The sequence below is a fragment of the Homo sapiens genome, chromosome 21, assembly GCF_000001405.40.
Source record: "Homo sapiens chromosome 21, GRCh38.p14 Primary Assembly".
Taxonomy (NCBI): domain Eukaryota; kingdom Metazoa; phylum Chordata; class Mammalia; order Primates; family Hominidae; genus Homo; species Homo sapiens.
Window position 1 is genome coordinate 26,147,605 of NC_000021.9, and position 20,767 is coordinate 26,168,371.

The 20,767-nt window shown below is 38.5% G+C and overlaps 1 protein-coding gene and 1 long non-coding RNA gene across 11 annotated transcripts in view, besides 1 other annotated feature; both read right to left on the reverse strand.

Annotated features, from left to right (window-relative positions):
- Positions 1-9,535, reverse strand: part of LOC124900466 (uncharacterized) — a 34,434-nt gene extending 24,899 nt beyond the window's left edge. Inside the window, exon 1 of the long non-coding RNA XR_007067829.1 lies at positions 1,533-9,535. This is a non-coding gene — a long non-coding RNA (uncharacterized LOC124900466). The remainder of the gene's footprint in view (positions 1-1,532) is intronic.
- APP (amyloid beta precursor protein) overlaps positions 1-20,767 on the reverse strand; it is a 290,579-nt gene that overhangs the window by 267,055 nt on the left and 2,757 nt on the right. The window lies entirely within an intron of this gene.
- Positions 1,332-1,901: an enhancer, noted in NCBI's record as "NANOG hESC enhancer chr21:27521254-27521823 (GRCh37/hg19 assembly coordinates)". NCBI's record gives its function as "activates a minimal SCP1, AML or CMV promoter by ChIP-STARR-seq in naive H9 embryonic stem cells {active_cell/tissue: H9 hESC(naive)}" and the evidence as "EXISTENCE:reporter gene assay evidence [ECO:0000049][PMID:30033119]".

Sequence of the window (20,767 nt, forward strand, 5' to 3'; positions counted from 1 at the left end):
AGAAAAAAAAAATCTTTTAAATGGCTCAATCAATTTATTAGAAATAAGCGGCAAAGAGCATCTGTTCCCACAGAGCAACTGTTAAGTTAATCCCCATTAAGTCGGCCTCAAAGCACTTGGATGCAGCTACAGGATGTGGGTGTGATAGGATCACACAGGCGAACACCTGATAGGGCCTTACACACACCGGGCTAATCAGAACATCAAAAAAAAAACCTGAAGTCTCTTGGAAGGACTGAAAAATCCAATCCCTCCCCAACCCCCCCAAAAAAACCTCCCAAAACAGACTATTCCATTCAATTCAGATTTTGTGAATTAATGAAATTTAAGAGCCACCTGAAACCACCAAAGATACACAGTGATTTTCTCCCGAATCTAAGGTCCAAATGACACAGGTAGAAAAATGCACTGATAAAATGTTAACAAAAATGCATGTCTAATACTTAGAGCTACGTGTGAGCAGGTTTTAGGAGAAGGATATTGATTCTCCCTGAGGCATGAGCATTACCCACCATTTCAGGAAGCCTCTGCAAGTGGAGAAGCCACAAACCCCTTCAAAAAGATCTCTCAATTACCCACTTCCCAGTCCCCTCTGATATGTGGTAAACAATTATTTCAATGAGGTTGGCAGAGATTTTTCAAAGCTAGCAGGCAGGCATTTTGCAGCTACCTCCAGCTGGTCCAAGCAGCCAAGGCTGTCACCAGTGCCTGGTCACCGCTGAAAACACAAGGAGGGGCAGGACTAGGGCAGGAGAGTAGATGGAGAGAGCTGTGTCCCGAACCAACATTCTTGAGATTCCTTTGCTAGTGTTTTTTCTTCAGGGTTCACTGAGAAGAGGAAGGTCAGATGGGGAGGGACAAAACCCAAGGAAATGAGGCTCATTTCAAACTCTAACAACTTGATCACAAACAAAATGTATGTAGAATTACAAATAAGTTATTCTGTTTTCAGGCATCAAAAATGTTATCAATGAAATGTTGAGATGCTAAAGCAGTGAAATGTGAAACGAAGCAGTGTCACAGGCAACTGGGCCTCTCCCCTGGCCCATCCCAGGAGGGATGAAGGGTGGCTGATATGAACTCTAAGGATTATTCTGAAGGGGCCAACAAATGTTACAAAGAGGCTCAAAAATAAAAATCAGAACCATTTTTCCCTCATTCATCCAGGGCCTACTCCTGGCCATGTTCTGTGCTTTGCACTTTATTCAATTTAATTCAATTTTTCTCCTAAGCAATCTATTTAGATACTTTGTAGATGTGGAAATTGGTTTAGGGAAGCTTACATCATTTTCTTGCAGTCATATTTCTAGTAAATTGAAAGAGTTGTGACTCAGATCCAAGGTCTGAATGACTCCAACATCCACACTCAGAACTTCCTTCACTTGGGATTGAGAAAAAGGGAAATAATGGAATTGGGAGGGGGAGAGAAGACACCAAGTAGAGATATCAGCATTCAGAACTTCCTGCAGGAGAGGGTGAAAGAAGCTGGCAGCCAGGAACTGAGGGCCTTACTGATTACTTTAGTATCTTACCAATCAATTGCATTCCAAGGCTTGCTTACTTAGGAGGCTGACTGCTTAGTCCAAGAAGAAACACTGGCTGAACTCTTTGACTTATTTTGCTGGAGGCAGAGAAGATAAGTGGTTAAGAGTAAAGACAATGAAAACATAGTTTAAACCCAGTCCACTGGCCAGCTCCCTCCCAGCTGGGGATAACAGTAGGTACCTCACAGGCTGCTGAAAAGAAAAAATTAAGTGAAAGCACTTTTCAACAAGGCCTGGTTCATAGAATGAGCTACATACAGTACCTGGTAATTAGTATTACTATTGCCACAACCAAGGAGGCCTCTCAGCAAACTATTTTTACATATGCCAGAAATACAGTTATTTTTTCCAGACTAATAAATCACAAACAATATGGCACGGTTGACCGCCAGGTTACTGATGCAATTTCTTTTCACTGGAACCAAAAAACAAAACCACCACCAAATCTGAACTAAGTATAATACAATAATTCTCCCTGTCTTAAATTTTAAAATACAGAAGAAAAGATGAATTGCTGTATACTCTAAACGCTCTTTTAAATGTTTGGAGTACAGAATGTCTTTCATGAAATCATCTTGATTAAAATGTACATTCTTTTCCAAGAAGGGAGTAAACTGAGTATGGAAGACCCTCACCATTAGTTTTTATAAATGATTGATCAATGGGAATCGTCACTGAAAAATTGCATACAATTTTTGGAATGAATGCAAATTGATGGAATGTTTGTAAGCTCATGTGCTTCTTCCAACACCCCAGCATGCTCCCACCTCACAGCCTTTACACTGTATTGTTCTCTCCAGGTTTAATACTTGTAGAAAAGGGGAAAAAAACCTTTTTTCTCTACCCTGTTAGGTTCAGCACATGAGGCCTTGCCAATTAAACTGACGAGACAGATTCGCAGGGGAAAAAACACAAATTTTATTTAATGTTATTATTTTTACATGAGGGAGGGGAGAGGAGGGAGCTCCACAGAAAAGCAAAAACCCAAAAGAAGCAGTTAGGCCTGAGAGCATACACACCATTTTAACAAAGAGCAATAAACTGTGGAGAAGTCACAAGACAAAGGAGAGGGGATTAGGGCTTCCAGGGGAAGTGTGGTAAGGTAAATATATGGGGGAAACTAATAGAAGATAAGGGTTATTTCAATAAGGTTTGTTTCTGCAGGCGATGGTGCCACCTCTAGTGGTCTCTCCAGGGATGGAGAGGGGAAGGAGGATACCTTCACACAGCAAAATTTTTATAAAAAGGGGGTAAAGCTTGTCCTGGGTCTGCTATTTCTCGATTGTCTTCAGCTCAAATTAGTACTTTGCTGAAATGGCATATTTGGGGGTAGCATATTCTGATCCCCTTCATACCCTTCCAGACTGTGTCTCTATCCAGCTCCTCACTGGCTTAATTTTTCTTCATAGCACTGACCACCAAGTGGCACAGAGTATACTGATTGACATCTAGATAGACAGATAGATAGACAGATAGATAGACAGACAGACAGACAGATTGACTGATTTGCTCTCTGCCCCACCCAACAAAGTACAAGCTCTGTGAGATCAGGAAGCTGGCCTCTTTCATGGTTGTATCCCAATGCTTGGCATAGTGTTGGTGTTCAATTAATGCACCAAATAAATGAACGGATTTCCATATTATATCAATATTTTCTTACAATTAGAATTTCTGTGATGTTGATAGTGTAAGAATTTGTTTTTATTAGTTTTCAACAGTATCAACATTTACTCATTATGTAGTTACAGTATTGTATTTTTTTAAAGTAAACAATAAACAACACTGTCTTTGCTCCAAATACCTATAATGTGAAATATATAAAACTGGCCGACTGACCACAGAAACGGCAGTTAATAATCAAAATTACATGTGTCTGGCTGAATGGACTCCACGACCTTACACTAGGTTCTGTAACAGCAGCATTTCATCACAATTTGTTAAATTTGAAGATAAATACCGTCTCTTTTCTGGTCAAAGATTCTTATATCTTTGGAAACTTGACAGAATTAATGTTTTTGACTTGTTTTTCACCACATAACATCAGGAGAGACTTTAACAGCAGTGAAGTGGCAAGGAGGACGCTTTATTTATATCCGTGTAATCATGTAACCCACTTCATGCTCCCACTGAATGGCTCCAGTAAACTGAAATCACAATTTCACTAATATCTACATTCCAGCTCCAGCTACATTTGCCTGTCAAATGCAACAACTTACAGTTAAGCTTCTGCCTACACGAGCAATCACAGAACCATTAAATAAGAGGATTGCTTGTTTGAACTACTAGATCAGCCTTTCCTTATTTTTGCTAATCTGTGTGGTGTACGTTCATTACCTTTTTTTTTTATGTTAAAGACCACCATGCGTAACACTACTTGACAGCAGCAATTTATAGCAGTGGTCCCCAGCCTTTCTGGCACCAGGGAATGGTTTGATGAAAGACAATTTTGTGGTTTGGTTTCGGGATGAAACTGCTCCACCTCAGATCATCAGGCATTAGATTCTAATAAGGAGTGTGCAACGCAGCTCTCACTTTCTTACATGCGGTTCACAATAGGGTTTGCGCTCCTATGAGCATCTAATGCCCTGCTGATGTGACAAGAGGCAGGGCTCAGGCAGCAACACTCACTCACCCATTGCTCACCTACTGCTGTGCAGCAAAGCTCCTAACACGCCACAGACCGGTACCAGTCCATGGCCCAGGGGTTAGGGACTCCTGATTCACAGCATTACAATAAATAATAAATAATTAAAATATTACCTGATATTTGGCAAACAATCCCTCTCTAAGTCACTACTTCCAGCCTATGTTCAGGCTAGAAATGCCAAATAAAAAAGCACATGTCTGTCTGGGCACGGTGGCTCACGCCTGTAATCCCAGCACTTTGGGAGGCCGAGGCGGGGGGATCACGAGGTCAGGAGATCAAGACCATCCTGGCCAACATGGTGAAACCCTATCTCTACTAAAAATACAAAACAAAAACAAAATTAGCCGGGCGTGGTGGCGGGCGCCCGTAGTCCCAGCTACTCGGGAGGCTGAGGCGGGAGAATGGCGTGAACCCGGGAGGCGGAGCTTGCAGTGAGCCGAGATCGCGCCACTGCACTCCAGTCTGGGCGACAGAGCAAGACTCCATCTCAAAAAAAAAAAAAAAAAAAAAAATGGGCCAAGGATCTGAATAGACATTTCTAAAAAGCAAATGTACAAACAAACAAAACAAAACAAAACAAAAGCACAAGTCCACAACTACATAGCTCCAGTTTCCCTAAACAGATTTACCCATTCAGTAAACATTACATGTACAAAGAACTTAAAATAGTATGAGATTTAATGTTAAGAAATAAAATGTAGGATCTAAAACGTAATCTATAGCATAATCTCAAAAATGGTTTAGAAATGACATAATAATACAGACATTTGTGGGTGGTAGGATTATGCATATTTTTATATATTTTTAAATATATTTTTCAAAAGCTTCCTATAAAGAATGTAATTCTTTCCCAATTCCAAATCTAGCTTAAACATAATTTTACAAAAATTATTCTCTCAGAATGTAAACTAGTACCACCTCTATGGAAAACATTATGGAGATTTCCTAAAGAGTTAAAAGTAGATCTACCATTTGATCCAGCAATCTTAATACTGGGTATCTACCCGGAGGAAAAGAAGTCATTGTATGAAAAAGACACTTGTACACATATGTTTACAGGACCACAATTCACAAATGCAAAGATGCAGAACCAACCTAAGTGGCCACTGACTAATGAGAGGATAAAGAAGATGTGGCATATATATATCAGGGACTACTACTCAGCCATTACAAGGAACAAAATAATGTCTTTTGCAACAACTTGGATAGAGCTGGAGGCCATTATTCTAAGTAAAGTAATTCAGGAATTGGAAAACCAAAAACCGTATGTTCTCTCTTATAAGTGGGAACTAAGTTAGGAATAAGCAAAGGCACACAGAGGGACATATTGGACTTTAGAGACTCACGAGGAGGAGGGTAATAGGGGACTAGGGATTAAAAGAAAAACTAGACATTAGGTACAAGGTACCCTACTTAAGTGCACTAAAATCTCAGAATTCACCACTACGTAATTCAACTAAGTAACAAGAAACCACTTGTACCCCAAAAGCTACTGAAATAAAAATTATTCTCTCAAAAATTTTAAGCCCTAAACTTCAGTTCCTATTGTTTATATTTACTAAGAAAAACAACAGAAAACACTGTTTTAAAAATGGTGGATTTTTTTAAGGTTAAAGGTATATAAGACAGCTGCCTAAGGAAACGCAGATACCCCTGTACCTTGTTGTTGTTGTTGTTTTTCACTTTTTTAAAAAACATAGAGATGGGATCTCCTTATGCTGCCCAGGCTTGTCTCAAACTCCTGAGCTCAAGCAATCCTCTGACCTCAGACTCTCAAAGTTTTGGGACTACAGGCGACAGTCACCATGCCAGCCAATATCCTTGTACTTTTAACTCATTCCTACAAGCCATGAATCCTCTAAGCATTGTCCCAGACACAGCACTGGCAAACTTCAATCGTTTTCATCAGAATATAAAGAAACACAGGGCATGCTTAACTTCAAGGTTGATATTTCCTTTGTGAGTAAAGCCTTGCCACAGATGAGAAGTCCTGAGGATCAAACAGGAAAACTTTAAGTTTAATTAAATCTAAAATCATAAAACCTAAGTTATATGACTAAGCAAACTCTTCAAAGCACTCAGTCAACATCCATGCTGGTAAATATTTCAGGAATGAAATGAAAAATAACTTTCAATTCTAAAAGTTCATCCATCATGCATGCTTCACGTTGTAAAGCAAATATTTCACAAAAATGAGTTTACAACAAAAGAACACCAATCCCACTTCTCCAACCCTCCATGTCAGGCAGTAAGCTTTCCACATTTGCTTACATTCTGAAAATAACTATTTTACATGCCAGGAATGCAATAGGCTTAAGCTGTCAAAAAGTATCATACTTTAAGTGTAACTGGGTAAGAACTATGGGCACACACACAATAAGCCTTCCAAAACAAGGGGAGGTAAATGAAATCTTAATACCTGTGTTTCCAGAAGCCCAGAAATGAAGTGCAATTCCTTATAATCTGTACATGTTTACATACCCATACAGACAATAAAATGTGTAAGGTAATGACAGGTCCATCTCTCCCCTTCCTTTTAGTGGGCATCTGACATTTCAGGGTTCAGAATCACATATCCTGGGTCCCAAAAGGTCCCCCCATTCCTATTCCAACAGTGCTCACAATAGAAAAAGATGAACTGATCACTGGACCCTACATCATCTCATATATGTATAATACTAGTCCACAGAGAGGTTGAAGATATGCCTGGTAACTCTATTCATCCTACCCCACAAGTTTTGTCCAAATCAGGCCATGCCTTCAAGTGGGCCAGATTGTCTTAAAGCTCCTGGCTTAATATTTAACTGATAGCAACAACCTAACGTTAGTACCTTAGTAACTAAAGGGGATGCAGCAACATGAAGCAGAAAAAGTGATGAAGAAAGAGATTAGAAGTTAGAGAACAGGGACTGGGCTCTTGATCCTTAAAATGTGGGTGATTTTGAACAACTCAACATCTCCAGATATTACTTTCTTCATCTGTAAAGTGGAGAAGCTTAAAAAGGAGGTCTTATAGATTCTACCTGTTCCAGAAACTATGATTCTCTTCCTAGACAGCTGCAGGTTGAAGAGACTCTCCTAGAGCTGCACTGTCCAATACAGTAACCACTAGCCATCTGTGGCTACTAAGTACTTGACATGCAGCTGGTCTGAATTAAAATATGTGAAATATGTAATCAGGTGCGGTGGCTCACAACTGTAATCCCGGCACTTTGGGAGGCCAAAGCGGCAAGTCACTTGAGGTCAGGAGTTCAAGACCAGCCTGGCCAACATGGTGAAATCTCATCCCTACCAAAAATAAAAAAATTAGCTGGGTGTGATGGCACACGCCTGTAATCCCAGCTACTCAGGAGGCTGAGGCAGGAAAACTGCTTGAACCCAGGAGGTGGAGGTTGCAATGAGCCAAGATTGCAATGAGCAAGCTAGATTGCACTCTAGCCTGGGCAACCGACTGAGTGAGACTCCGTCTCAAAAAAATAGTAATAATAAAATAAAAAATAAATATGTGAAATGTGAACATTTTGAAGACATAATATGAAAAAATAATGTATTTCATAAATAGCTTTTATATTGACCCCCTGTTGAAATAACATTTTGAATTTAGTGACAGACTAAAATTAATTTCGCCTGCTTATTTTTTTATGTGGCTACTTGAAAACTTTAAATTAGATCTAACGGTCCTATTATACCTCTACTGGATAATTCTGCTTTAAAGTCAGTCCTGGGCATGCATGACGCCCAGAGGAATTCACAGATAAAATGAGCCCAGGAATCTGTATGGAATACAGACCTGTAGGTTACCATTTCCATATTAAATGTGTAAAGGGCTGTTTTAAAACCATGCTTTTGTTTTCTTATTTTGTGCACCAACAATAAATCAACAGCAAATATCATTGGGTCTAAAAATAATTGATATCTGGCTGGGCGCGGTGGCTCATGCCTGTAATCCCAGCACTTTGGGAGGCCGAGACGGGTGGATCATGAGGTCAGGAGATCAAGACCATCCTGGCTAACATGGTGAAACCCTGTCTCTACCAAAAATACAAAAAAACGTAGCTGGGAGTGGTGGCGGAAGCCTGTAGTCCCAGCTACTCGGGAGGCTGAGGGAGGAGAATGGCGTGAACCCAGGAGGGAGGCAGAGCTTGCAGTGAGCCGAGACCGTGCCACTGCACTCCAGCCTGGACAACAGAGCGAGACTTCGTCTCAAAAAAAAAAAAAAAAAAAAAGATACCACTTCATTTATGCTATGCCTGAATCCTAATTATCAACTGTAGGCCTTAACAATAATCCTAAGTGGATGTGCCTTTATGCAGGCACTTGTGGCCTTTTTGTTTTCTTTGAATTAAATATACAAAGTAATAATTTATCTTACTTCATAAAAAGATTATAATCTCCCATTTTTTAAAACACATTTGATATTAGTAGGAATAACTAAAATGAACTCGTATGAATAGACCATTTTTATTTCATTGATATCTAACTAGGAACGTTGCAACTAATTTTTGCAATCTGTATCAATTTGTTTAATATATTTTAAATGAACAAAGAAGCAGAGATAGTTTCTAGAGAGCTTATTTACTTAAAAATACAACAGATATTAATCAATAAAATATTAATAAGATTCAGGTGAGTCGAGAGTGAGTACTCAAGTTCTCTTTTCTCACAACGTATTCTTGGAGTGCCAACCTTTTCAGTTCAATGATTTTATGCAAAGGTATACATCTAACTGCCTGCAAAATAAACTACTGACTATTTTAAATCAGATAAAGCAAACAACAGCCCCCAGCTCTGCAATCCAAAGCCAGCAAAGGTCACCCATTTCAGACTGGGTTTGAAGCATAGCCAGTTATGATAGCTCAAATATTTTCAGATGTATGAAAGCAGAACAGAATTCAGAAATATACATTCTTTGGCAGACAATTTTTTTAGAACCAAGTTTCTCAAATTATATAATACAAACTATATGACTATTAGAAAATTATGCATGAATTAAAGGAGATTTATTTAATTTTCAAATTCTAATATAATTAAAATTTTCAAACTTAACTATATGGGCTTCACGGGTGAAAAAAAGTATAATTTAAAAATATGAGCAATATAATATGACAGAAATATACATTCAAACACTCTTTCTAATTTTTCATAAATTAACAACTATTTGAGACATGCACAAATTTTCATGTGTTTTTCTGAAGGTGGTATCCAGAAGTGATAATTTTCCTGACAGTTTAACATTTTTTAAAGACATGCCAAGATTTAAATAATGTAGCTTTTTGATTACTCTTTTTTTTTGAGACAGAGTCTGGCTCTGTTGCCCAGGCTGGAATGCAGTGGTATGATCTCGGCTCACTGCAACCTCCGCCTCCTGGGTTCAAGGGATTCTCCTGTCTCAGCCTCCCGAGTAACTGAGACTACAGGCATGCACCACCACGCTCGGCTGATTTTTGTATTTTTTGTAGAGACGGGGTTTCACCATGTTGGCCAGGCTGGCCTTGAACTCCTGACCTCAAGTGATCCACCCACCTCAGTCTCCCGAAGTGCTGGGATTACAGGTGTGAGCCACCGTGCCCGGCCTTTTTGATTACTCTTAAAACTGCGGGATCAAAATGAAATGTTAGAAAGTAAAACCAACAGCAGAAAGTAAAACCAAGAGCAGCTTCTGAGGAATCATATTTTAGACATTTCTTTCAGACAGATTCTGTAATGTGTCAAACTATTGGAACATATTTCAACTAAATATTTAAGTGAAGACAAAATCCCTACTACAAAACCTCCAAATACTCTAACAATGATGATTCTATCAGGCCTACTCAGAACTACAGGTTTTCCCCACATCTTGATTTCAAAGCATACTTTCTGTGACGTATCTTCATTTAATCACTTTTAGAATAATTGAACAAGAAAATAGGTAAGGAATTAAAATAAATTTTAAAATGGCAGTCCCATTCTTACTGACATAAATTTATTAAGATCAATGTTCCTTTTTGCATAGATCTTCCCATTCTGTTTCAATAACACCAGCAAGCATAAACAGATTTGAAAAGCTACGCAGCCACAGAAAACAGGTTCAGCATGACAGACAGATCTAGCTCAAAAGAGGTGCTCAGTGTCAAGCTCTTTTCTAAAAACCTCAAAGCTTGTTTTGTCTGCTGTTGCTTTCAAAGAACAAGCACAACAAAATTGTTTTGAGGAAGTCTCTAGATCAAACGAAAGACAGTTAACCAACAGGGAGAGTAAACTGACTGCCACTGCTGTCCACACAGGGCCACAGAAATCATTGCTTTGTTCCATCACTCTAGCTGGAAGGCCTTCCCAGGAATGCAAGTCTGAACCATCTAGAGTTCTCTCAGCCAGAATGAAGGCTCAGCTCTTGGATGTTTCTACCATAAAAATGAGAAAGCATTTCCTACCTCCTCCTCTGTCACTCCACAAAGATGTGCTTCCTGTGTGGCTGGCTAGCAGATAAGAGAAGGTAAGCAAATCCCAAAAGCCTACTCTAATCGCTCACGGAGAATCTTAGCTTTGGTTCAGAACGTTAAGTCTACCCATTTTCCTCTATCCCTTTATGGTACTGTATTTCTTCTACATCCCAGAATGCCAGTTGCCACTCAATATCCTACCTCTCCTTTACCCTTAAGAAGAGAGCCGGAAATGTAATTTCTGATAGCAATGCTCCCAGCTAATAGAGCACATTTACATGCTCCCTTGCATCGAGGTGTCACTATCTGGCCCATGAGATTAAGCAGACCTTGAAAAGGACTTCTACAAAAGCTCCTAAACCTAACTGAACCATGAATATCAATGCCTCGTCCCCATTTTAGGAACATTTAAAAGTACTCCATTTCTAAGAAAATGAAGTTCAAACTCATTAAGGGCATCCAAAATTTATAATTTCACACTGTCTCCTTCACTTATTATACCCCTGGGCTTCCCCCTTTGAAACTCTACACCCTCGCTGTTTTTTCTGTCTGGGAAGCCCTCCCCACCCCAGTTCACCTTCACACATCCTTGAAACCTAGTTCAAATTCTGCCTGCCTTCTCTGGGAAGAGTTTGTACCTCCTCTATTATAGCCTTTGGCACACTGTACCTAATTATTTCTCCGTCTCTTTCTTCCTCCACTGGACTGCGGAATTCCTCAAGGCACAGACTGAGTTACCTTTCTATTTACTCACAGCCCCACCCAGATTCTAGATCTCCTGTCATAACTGAAACACAGAATCCATGCAGTATGTCCATAAAATGAATAATAATTTCACAAATTCAAAATGAGAGAAACAATAAGATAGTAAATTTTTTTTTTTTTTGAGACGGAGTCTCGCTCTGTTGCCTAGGCTGGAGTGCAGTGGCACGATGGCTCACTGCAAGCTCTGCCTCCCAGGTTCACACCATTCTCCTGCCTCAGCCTCCCGAGTAGCTGGGACTACAGGTGCCTGTCACCACGCCCGGTTAATTTGTTGTATTTTTAGTGGAGACAGGGTTTCACCATGTTAGCCAGGATGGACTGGATCTCCTGACCTCGTGATCCACCCGCCTTGGCCTCCCAAAGTGCTGGGATTACAGGTGTAAGCCACCGCACCAGGCCATAAATTAGTAATTTTTTAAACATCTAACTCCAAATAAATGTCAACATCACAGAAGTCAATCACAAATGCCCTGAGAAAACTTGCAGTAGAGACATAAAAGGGGAATGCACAATCCAAATATTCAGCTAAACATTCTGCATTAAACCTTCCCCCTCATCTGCACACAGAAGAATCACGGGCTTAGGCTTGGCTTTGTGTTCAACCTCTGATAGAAATGAGCAAACGAGCAATGAAGTCAACATGTCAGATTGCTTTGTAAATCTAAATAACTTCGCATGTGATAATAAATTCTAAGAATGCATCCAATGTCTTTTTCTCTGCAACAACAAGACACTAATATTTTTTTCTCATCTCATCGGCTATTTATTAAATCAATAAATACAATTAAAAACACATGCGCATAAGAAATACTCTCAATAAACTGAAGGGATGCTTCCCATCTGTGTCCCTACAATATGACCCAGAAAATTCACAATGATATAAATTTAACCTTTGAGTCTAGCTCACAAAAGTGAAGTGAAATATCCAAATAGCAAATACGAAGAAAGGAACTACCAAGAAACAAGGAAAGTCAGCCTCCAATTTTGTTCATTTAAGTATACCCTCTCTGCCACCACAACATTCATTATGTTTGTCCTGGACAGCTCTAATGGCCATGCTGATTGATACTCAGTGTTAAGGCCACCTCTGTCCAACAGACAGAGGTGGCTTCTACTCTGTTTCAGCCAAATACTCACATGGCTACTCTATCATCACCTGGAAATCTCCCAGCTTCCCTCAGGAATTCCCCCCTCTCCTATTTCACTGAACAAGCAGGAATAAGTGATTCCAAAATTGCAATTTTGTCTCAAATGTACTCTTAAAAGTGAAACCCTCCACAATTCAACTAGCAGCAGTTCTGTAAGCTGCCTTTACATTCAAACACCCTATGGGTTAGCCAAGAACGCCCCTCCACAACAACCATAGAATTTTTATATTCGTTTTACTTCTGTTGCATTTAAATTTTCTGGATTCTGTGGTATAAGAGGATTTAACACTTGACACAAAACATTCAAAATAAGATTGAGAAAATACTAGCAAGATACAAGGCTAATCATAATGACCTCAATTAGATTTTCAATTCCTGTCAAGTTAATGGTATATAGTAGTATTGGCTTCAAGCTCTTCAAATTGAAAAATACAATTCTTTTAGATAACAGAGGTAATAGAATTCAATATATTTTTTTAAAGGGCCAATTTTGATCCTTGTCACACTAAACACTAGCTGTAAAATGGCCAAAAAAGGAGCCAAAAAAAAAGACAATGACAGAGAAATTTTCATTTTCATGCCACTAAATTTAATTCCAATACACATTTTCTTTCCAAACTCTACTAACTTCTTCACACAAAATTATGTCTAGGCACCCTCTATTGAAAGTGTCCCAATCAATCAGGGCATGGATGAAATATTTCAAAAATGAGGCATTTTTTCTTTTTGCAGGCCAACTGAATTTTTGAAATACAATTGCAAATGACTGAACGTGATGTATTGACAGTATTTATGAAACCTTTTCACAATAAAATGTTCCAAAAAGAGGCTGAAAAAAAAGAATCTTATTTAAAAGGCTTTAATCTTCTTTCTATGCTTGTTCGCAGTTTCTTAAATGTTGAGAAGGTTGCACAGCTGTTCGAATCTTCAATCTGAACGTAATTCTTTATCACCACAACATAGAATTTCTAGAGAACTCATTTATTTAGTACATACAAAATGTAAGGCATTATCATGAGTGATCAAACAAATTACTGTATAGAAAAGTGTGTGATCACAATCAACACTAACTTCTCTCTCCCACCACTTGTTTTCAACATTTAATCACCCAAAGTAGATCTTCTGTCTACAATTATTCTTTTACAATGTAGTAAATATATAGTTCCTTCCCCCAGTTATCTAAGTTTACCTTCACATACTGAAATGATCAGAGAACTTTGACAATACTACAGAAACTATTGCATTCACAACACACATCCTTCTACGTAGCATTCTCTTATATTCCTTACCCAACTTAATTTTTTCCAAGTCACTTCCTTCCTCCTTTTTATTCTGTCTACCCTCTTGGGGGCAAGGACCTCGAAAATATTTGTGAAATGAAGGAGTGGCCCTTTCTTGGTTGTACCCCTAAGAATCTAGGTTTCTTTGTGTATGAAAATAAGCTAATTTCCACAGAAATTTGGCTTTAATTTTAAATTGCTAATCAATTTAATATGTAAGTATCTATGATTAATTATTCTTAGAATAATTAGTCTGCATATTTTCACATTTCTATGGGAGTTTCTTAGGTACTCTTCAGTTATATCCTCAAACTAATTTACTGTAATGACAAAATTATATTTGTGTTAAACCATAATAAGCAATTGAGAGCATCAGGATGGAGAATATTTGCTACTACATATCACTTTTCATATGATGGGTTTTAATGTTAGTCTCTGAAGACTTAAGCTAAGACTTCAAAAACTTTGCATCGGTTTTAAAGGCTTAATCTTTGAAGTAGATGAGGATTTTTTTTTTGAAAGATAAAAAAATCAATAAATACAGTTAAGAAACAGTGCTTATCCATCTTTATTCTATGAGCCTATCAATTCAATTATAAACAAAATAACTGAGTAATGATATTTATAAAAACAACATTGGCCAGGCACAATAGCTCACACCTGTAATCTAGCACTTTGGAAGGTCGAGGCAGGAGGATCGCTTGAGCCCAGGAGTTCAAGATCAGCCTGGGCAACATAGTGGGGACCCCATCTCTACAAAACATTTAAGAAATTAGTCAGATGTGGTGGCACATGCCTGTAGTCCCAGCTACTCTGGAGGCTGGGGCAGGAAGATGGCTTCAGCCCAGGAGGCCACGGCTACAGATCACACCACTGCACTTCAGCCTGGGTGACAGAGTGAGGACTTGTCCCGAAAACAAACAAAACCAAACACAGTATCAATATGCTTTTGAAAATTCATCCAATAGTAGGAGTAGATATAACAAGTCCTTTTTTAAGATGAATAAACCTTTAATGGATAAAGCCATTTTCTTTACTTTCTCTTAAAAATAAAATTTATGTTGCCTCACTAATTTTACTGTGAAATAACGAGCACACAGACAAGGAAAAACTAAACAAATGAGTTTGTAGTAACTTGGGATGAGGGGCAGGTCTAAAACACGTTAAGTCTATCTCAACAGTAGGATTAAACCTCTCATTTTTCTTCCTGTAAAATATCTCCAGGGGGTCAAAATATATTAGTTATTCAATGTTTGAAATTTAGCAAAGCAGCAAGAGTAATAATGCATTTCTTCACTTAACACAAATGACTTTTCTTTATGCAACAGATCTCTTATTCTCATAAGTATCTTTTATGGCTGAAAAGTAATTTATCAGTCTGTATCATCTAGGATGCCTTACATTTTTCAATGAAGACAGTATGTGGCTTTCTGGAAGCTAATGAAAGCCAAATTATTAAATAAGAGACAAATTATTAGATTCTCTCAAAAAAAGCATCAGGCAAAAAAAAAAATTCCTATCAAAATCACCAAAAAATTGGCCAGGTGCAGTGGCTCACACCTGTTATCCCAGCACTTTGGGAGGCCTAGGTGGGTGGATCACTTGAAGTCAGGAGTTCGAGACCACCCTGGCCAATGTAGTGAAACCCTGTCTCTACTAAAAAAAAAAAAAACAAAAACAAAAATTAGCCAGGCGTGGTGGCACATGCCTGTAAACCCAGCTATTCAGGAGGCTGAGGCATGAGAATTGCTTGAACCCGGGAGGCAGAGGTTGCAGTAAGCCAAGACACGCCACTGCACTCCAGCCTGGGTGACACAGTAAAACTCAGTCTCAAAAAAAAAAAAAAAAAAAAAAAAAAAAATCACCAAAAAACAAAAGAAGTGACAATTATTCTTGTTGAATCAAATTTCTCATAAGAAAACCTTCTGACTTTGTGAAGAAAAAAAGGAACCATCTGGAAATTAAGAGATTCAAACACTGTTTGGGGTCCATCATTAATAAGACCTTAAGGAATCACTGCACTTCATTCATCAGGATCCATTAATTTACAAAACAGGCTTATTCATCTTTTCCCTTTTCCAAAATGTTTGTCCTATTTATTCCTCATCCCTGCTCATGAACCCTCCACTCCTGCTTCTGGAACCATCTTAATCACTCCTCACTGTATCTACTGTAATCAGGATGTTTATCACAAATATGGCTTCTGTCATTACACATCCTCGTATGTGAACCCACTTCTTGTCTTCTTGTCTTTAGTTGGACAGGACAATTATAATTACATGAGCTGGTTAACAAAAACCCATGTGAATTCTTTGGGACTCTGCTTCTTGATTTTTCCCTGCGTTCATCATCATTTAACCACAGTATCACCAGTTTCATACACTCAAGGCTTTCAAATATCCTTGGCCTGCTTTTGAAGCTAAAAACCTTTTATTTTTGAGCAACATATGCTGATTTTTAAAAAAAATATATAATTTCAATTAAACAGCAGATCACTATAAAGTTTTAAAGATGTAACAGCCATAACATGGCTGGTTACACAAATTCACTTTACTGCAGCTGGGCGCGGTGGCTCACGCCTGTAATCGCAGCACTTTGGGAGGCCGAGGCAGGCGGATCACGAGGTCAAGAGTTTGAGACCAGCCTGACCAACATAGTGAAACCCCGTCTCTACTAAAAATATAAAAATTAGCTGGGCATAGTGGCACACGCCTGTAATCCCAGCTACTCGGGAGGCTGAGGCAGGAGAATCGCTTGAACCTGAGAGGCGGAGATTGCAGTGAGCTGAGATCGCACCACTGCATTCCAGCTTGGGCGACAGGGCGAGACTCCGTCTCAAAAACAAAACAAAACAAAAAATTCATTTTATTTTGAAACTGATTTCCTAGAGAAATGCCGCATTCTCAAGCAATCTGCTTTTTGGTTTCCCTGTCCTTGGGTGAACATAACTTCAAGCTTCCATATTAGGACCAAAATTCTTTTGCTGGCATTTGAAATCTTCCATTTCTACCCAGATTGGCAAAGCCTGTTTATTCGTTTTGCTAGCAAAGATTCTACTGAAAACTAAACCAAGTCTGTTCACAGTTCCTTGCACATAGCTGATAGCCAACTAATAGTTAATAATCAAGCCAGTGTATAAACTTGCTCAATATTAGACATCTGTGGCAAGCTGCCAGTGTGTACAACATTAAAAAATAGGTCTCTGGGAGGCCGAGGTGGGCAGATCACTTGAGGTCAGGAGTTTGAGACCAGCCTGGCCAACATGGTGAAACCCCATCTCTACTTAAAAAATACAAAAATTAGCTGGGCATGGTGGCGAGTGCCCATAGTCCCAGCTACTCAGGAGGCTGAGGCAGGAGAATCGCTTGAACCCAGGAGGCGGAGGTTGCAGTGAGCCGAGATCGCGCCACTGCACTCCAGCCTGGGTGACAGAGGGAGATTCTGTCTCAAAAAAAAAAAAAAAAGGTCTACATCCATGTTATGTGGAAAAAAAGAAAAAAAAAAACTAGGTATTTCCCATTTGTGTAAAAAATGCTTATGCTTTTTGCACATTTCTGTACTGTTTTAAATTTTTCAATGAGCATGAATTATTTTCATTTTTCAAAAAACCAATTGAAATACACAATACATATTTAATAAATGAAATTTTATAACATGTATTCTAAAAATTGTATCTGAGATACCATGTGCTTTTTAAATTTAGATCAAACTCATAGACAACAATCTGTCAATTTCCTGCAATAGTCTTAATTGGCCAATAAGTAATTTGTCAATAAGTGAAACATCATCTAGATTTTTAACTTTCAACTATGCAGGAAACTTACATATACCCATTGTACATCAACATCATCACCATACATAGCAGCAACTAACACACAGTGCTTATGCTATGCCATCAGGTTACATATATATTAACTCACACACTGTTTCAAGCATTTAACAAAGATATTAATTCGATCCTCAATAACTAGAAGTACTCATCCCATTTTACAAAGGAAAAAACTGAGGCACAGAAACTTGCCCATGGTCACTAGCTCAAAAGAAACAAAGACAGAATTTATGCCCATGCATTCCTGCCCTGGTCTAAACTCTCCTGATTAGTGTGCAATGCTGCCTTCTCTACATACCTGAGAAACACTCAATGACTCAGTGTTATTGGCCTAACATCACGCCTGGCATCAAATTCAACATTATAAATTGAGAACAACTCTGGTTCGTTCTACAGAGGTGACATTTTTAAAAACCTCTCATCTTCCCCATTTTAACTATCTTCTTTCGTAAGATACTGTGAGTCTCGCAAGGTTCAAGCTAAATCTCTATTGCATGTTTCTTCAACATGTAGCCACACAAAATAAACCTAAATAAAATGATCTCTTAGGTTTCTATTTCAGCAGATTTAATACATGTGAACCTGAGACTTCTGTGGCCCTCTCTGAATACTCAGCTAGCTAATCTACTAAGCATCCCTGTTTCATAAAGCTATTAATTGATGCACATATCCAGGCTTTTAAATTTAAATATGTGAATTTATTCCTAGAGCAATCATTGTACTCCAGTTTTTGCCAGATTTCTACTTCTGAAGAGGTACCACTCAAGCATAATAATAATCTATAACCAAGATTAATCTAAAGAGGAAAATTTGCCAAACTTTTTTTTCCAAGAAAAATACTAGTGTCCTCACAGTAATGATTATTTCTTAAGCCATCCACACTAAACTGAAAAAATAGTTACATAACATTTCCCCCTTTACTAAGCTTTTCACTTGCAAAATCAGCTTCAGGGTTTGAGTTCTGTCTGCTTTTCTTCTTATACAACAATAAAAAAAGAAATACATATTTTATTGATTAAACTTGCTACTCATTCTGGGGTGTGCTCATTCCTTCCCCTGCCACCTTCTGTCTTCTGTGTACAGATGAGGGTGTTATCTGTACACTGGCTGTGAGACCCACAGGGTGACAGCGTTTCCAAGGGTTTGCAAAAGACGGCATTTCCCATCCATCCCCACTCCATACATTTGCATCTGAGCTCTCACTATGAAAAGGAAAAGATTTTTTTATTTCTGTTTTCTTCAGCCCTTTTCTGTCTACAAAGCCAATCTCCTCTGTTCAACTCATCGGAACATTTATACTATTTTACAGAATAGTGTTGCCTGAATGTAGAATCACAACAAAGCCAGTTGAGATCTTTAAATTAAAAAAAGAAAAAAAAAAGATTTCATAATCAAGCATAGTCAAGTGAAACAGAGAGAGGTTGAAAACCACCAGACAAAAACAAAACACAAACAGAAAATGTGATTTTTCCCTATCCTCCTCGTTGCCACTGTTCATCTCATACTCTGCCCATCAAGATGCTACTGAAGCTCTCTGGTCCTGCATTCAGCCCCTTACCTTTGACCTCTCAACTCCTTATTTCAAATTCCCTACTCCTGTTGAGAATACCCTGCACCAGCATCTGTCACTCAAGTGAGAGAGAGAGAGAGAGAGAGAGAGAGAGAGAGAAAGAGAGAGAAAGAGACAGAGGGTGTGTGTGTGTGTGTGTGTGTGTGTCTGTCTGTCTGTCTGGTAGAGGCAGAGAGGAATGTAAACAAATATTGTATATGCAGAAACTTAACCTCCAATCCCCAGACCTGGGATATAAACCTGGCTGGAAATTTACTACCAGGAAATGCTCCAGGATTATCTATGATCTCATCCCATTGTTCCTTACTTTTTAAATACAGGAAGTTTTCTCTGTAACATATTTACTCAGTATACCTAATCTGTATTTTCCTTTTGGTATTTTAGTACATTCCACTTTGTTTTATTATCATGTGCATGTTTTATTTACCCTGCAAACTTCCTGGGAGTAAGGGGAGGGAGGAGGGAAGGGGAGGTAATGAGGTATGCAGTCGAACTAAACCTTACATTCTGGAAGCTTTAAATTTAAAATGCATCTGTACAGGTTTATCTTTACATTTGTAATTGATAGAGATTTTAAAAGAAATGTATTAATGAAAGATGCTTTGTAAGATTCTCAAGGTAATACAATTTGCAGAAACAATGTACATTTCTACTGAATTTAATGCACTTCTCACTGATAGTTTAGTGGCCACGTGAAATGCAAGTAATAGCTATGCTTATTTCCAGAATGACTGACAACATTCATACAAATATCTGTAGAAGACTCTAGTATGCAAAAAACAGTAACATAAAATAGAGATCCTCTAGCAACAAGACTTAACATAAAGACAACCTCTCCCATTCCTTCAAACCAATATTGTTGATCACGTTATTTCTTTTTAATTTTTTTGAATCAGCCATTCCTCATTTAACCTCGTGAACTTGCATGTTCCTTTTCATTTCCTCAGTCAGGACCAGTATTATTCCATCTAGTAACTTCTCCGCAGTACTAATAGCCTTGCAAATGTCGTTCAGGAGCCTCTGCTGGTTCCGGTGACAAGAGAAAAGCTTCTGCAGTCTGCCAGTTATCATGGTTTCTCATCGATTAGCAAGAACCGTGACTCCTTACAGATCACCATCAAACCTGAGCTTTACTATTCTGTGTGTCGGCTTCTACCTTTAGCGAGGTACTAGTCAGTAGCAGCAGGTTTCCATAAACTATAAATTAGCACTACCACAAAGGTAAGATGATTGTGACTAGGTTAAACCCTCAACAGAGGGAAATAAAACTTAAGAGGAAGCTAGATTTAAAAATAAATAAATAAATAAATATTAGGGTAGTGAAACATCATATAGATTAGGGTTTGTTAAACTCACACCTCTATCAACATACCAGCCAAAATCATCAACCCAGATAATAACCATGTTTCCCCCGATAGCCAAGGCCCCATTATCATTGCCCTTATTCATTTCTTTTCTACAGCCACCTGCAGCAGACCTATTTTCTAAGCTCTATAAAAGACAGTCAACTCGTAATTACATCTTTTCAGTGGACACAGAGAGAACCAGATAAACCACCCTCAAAC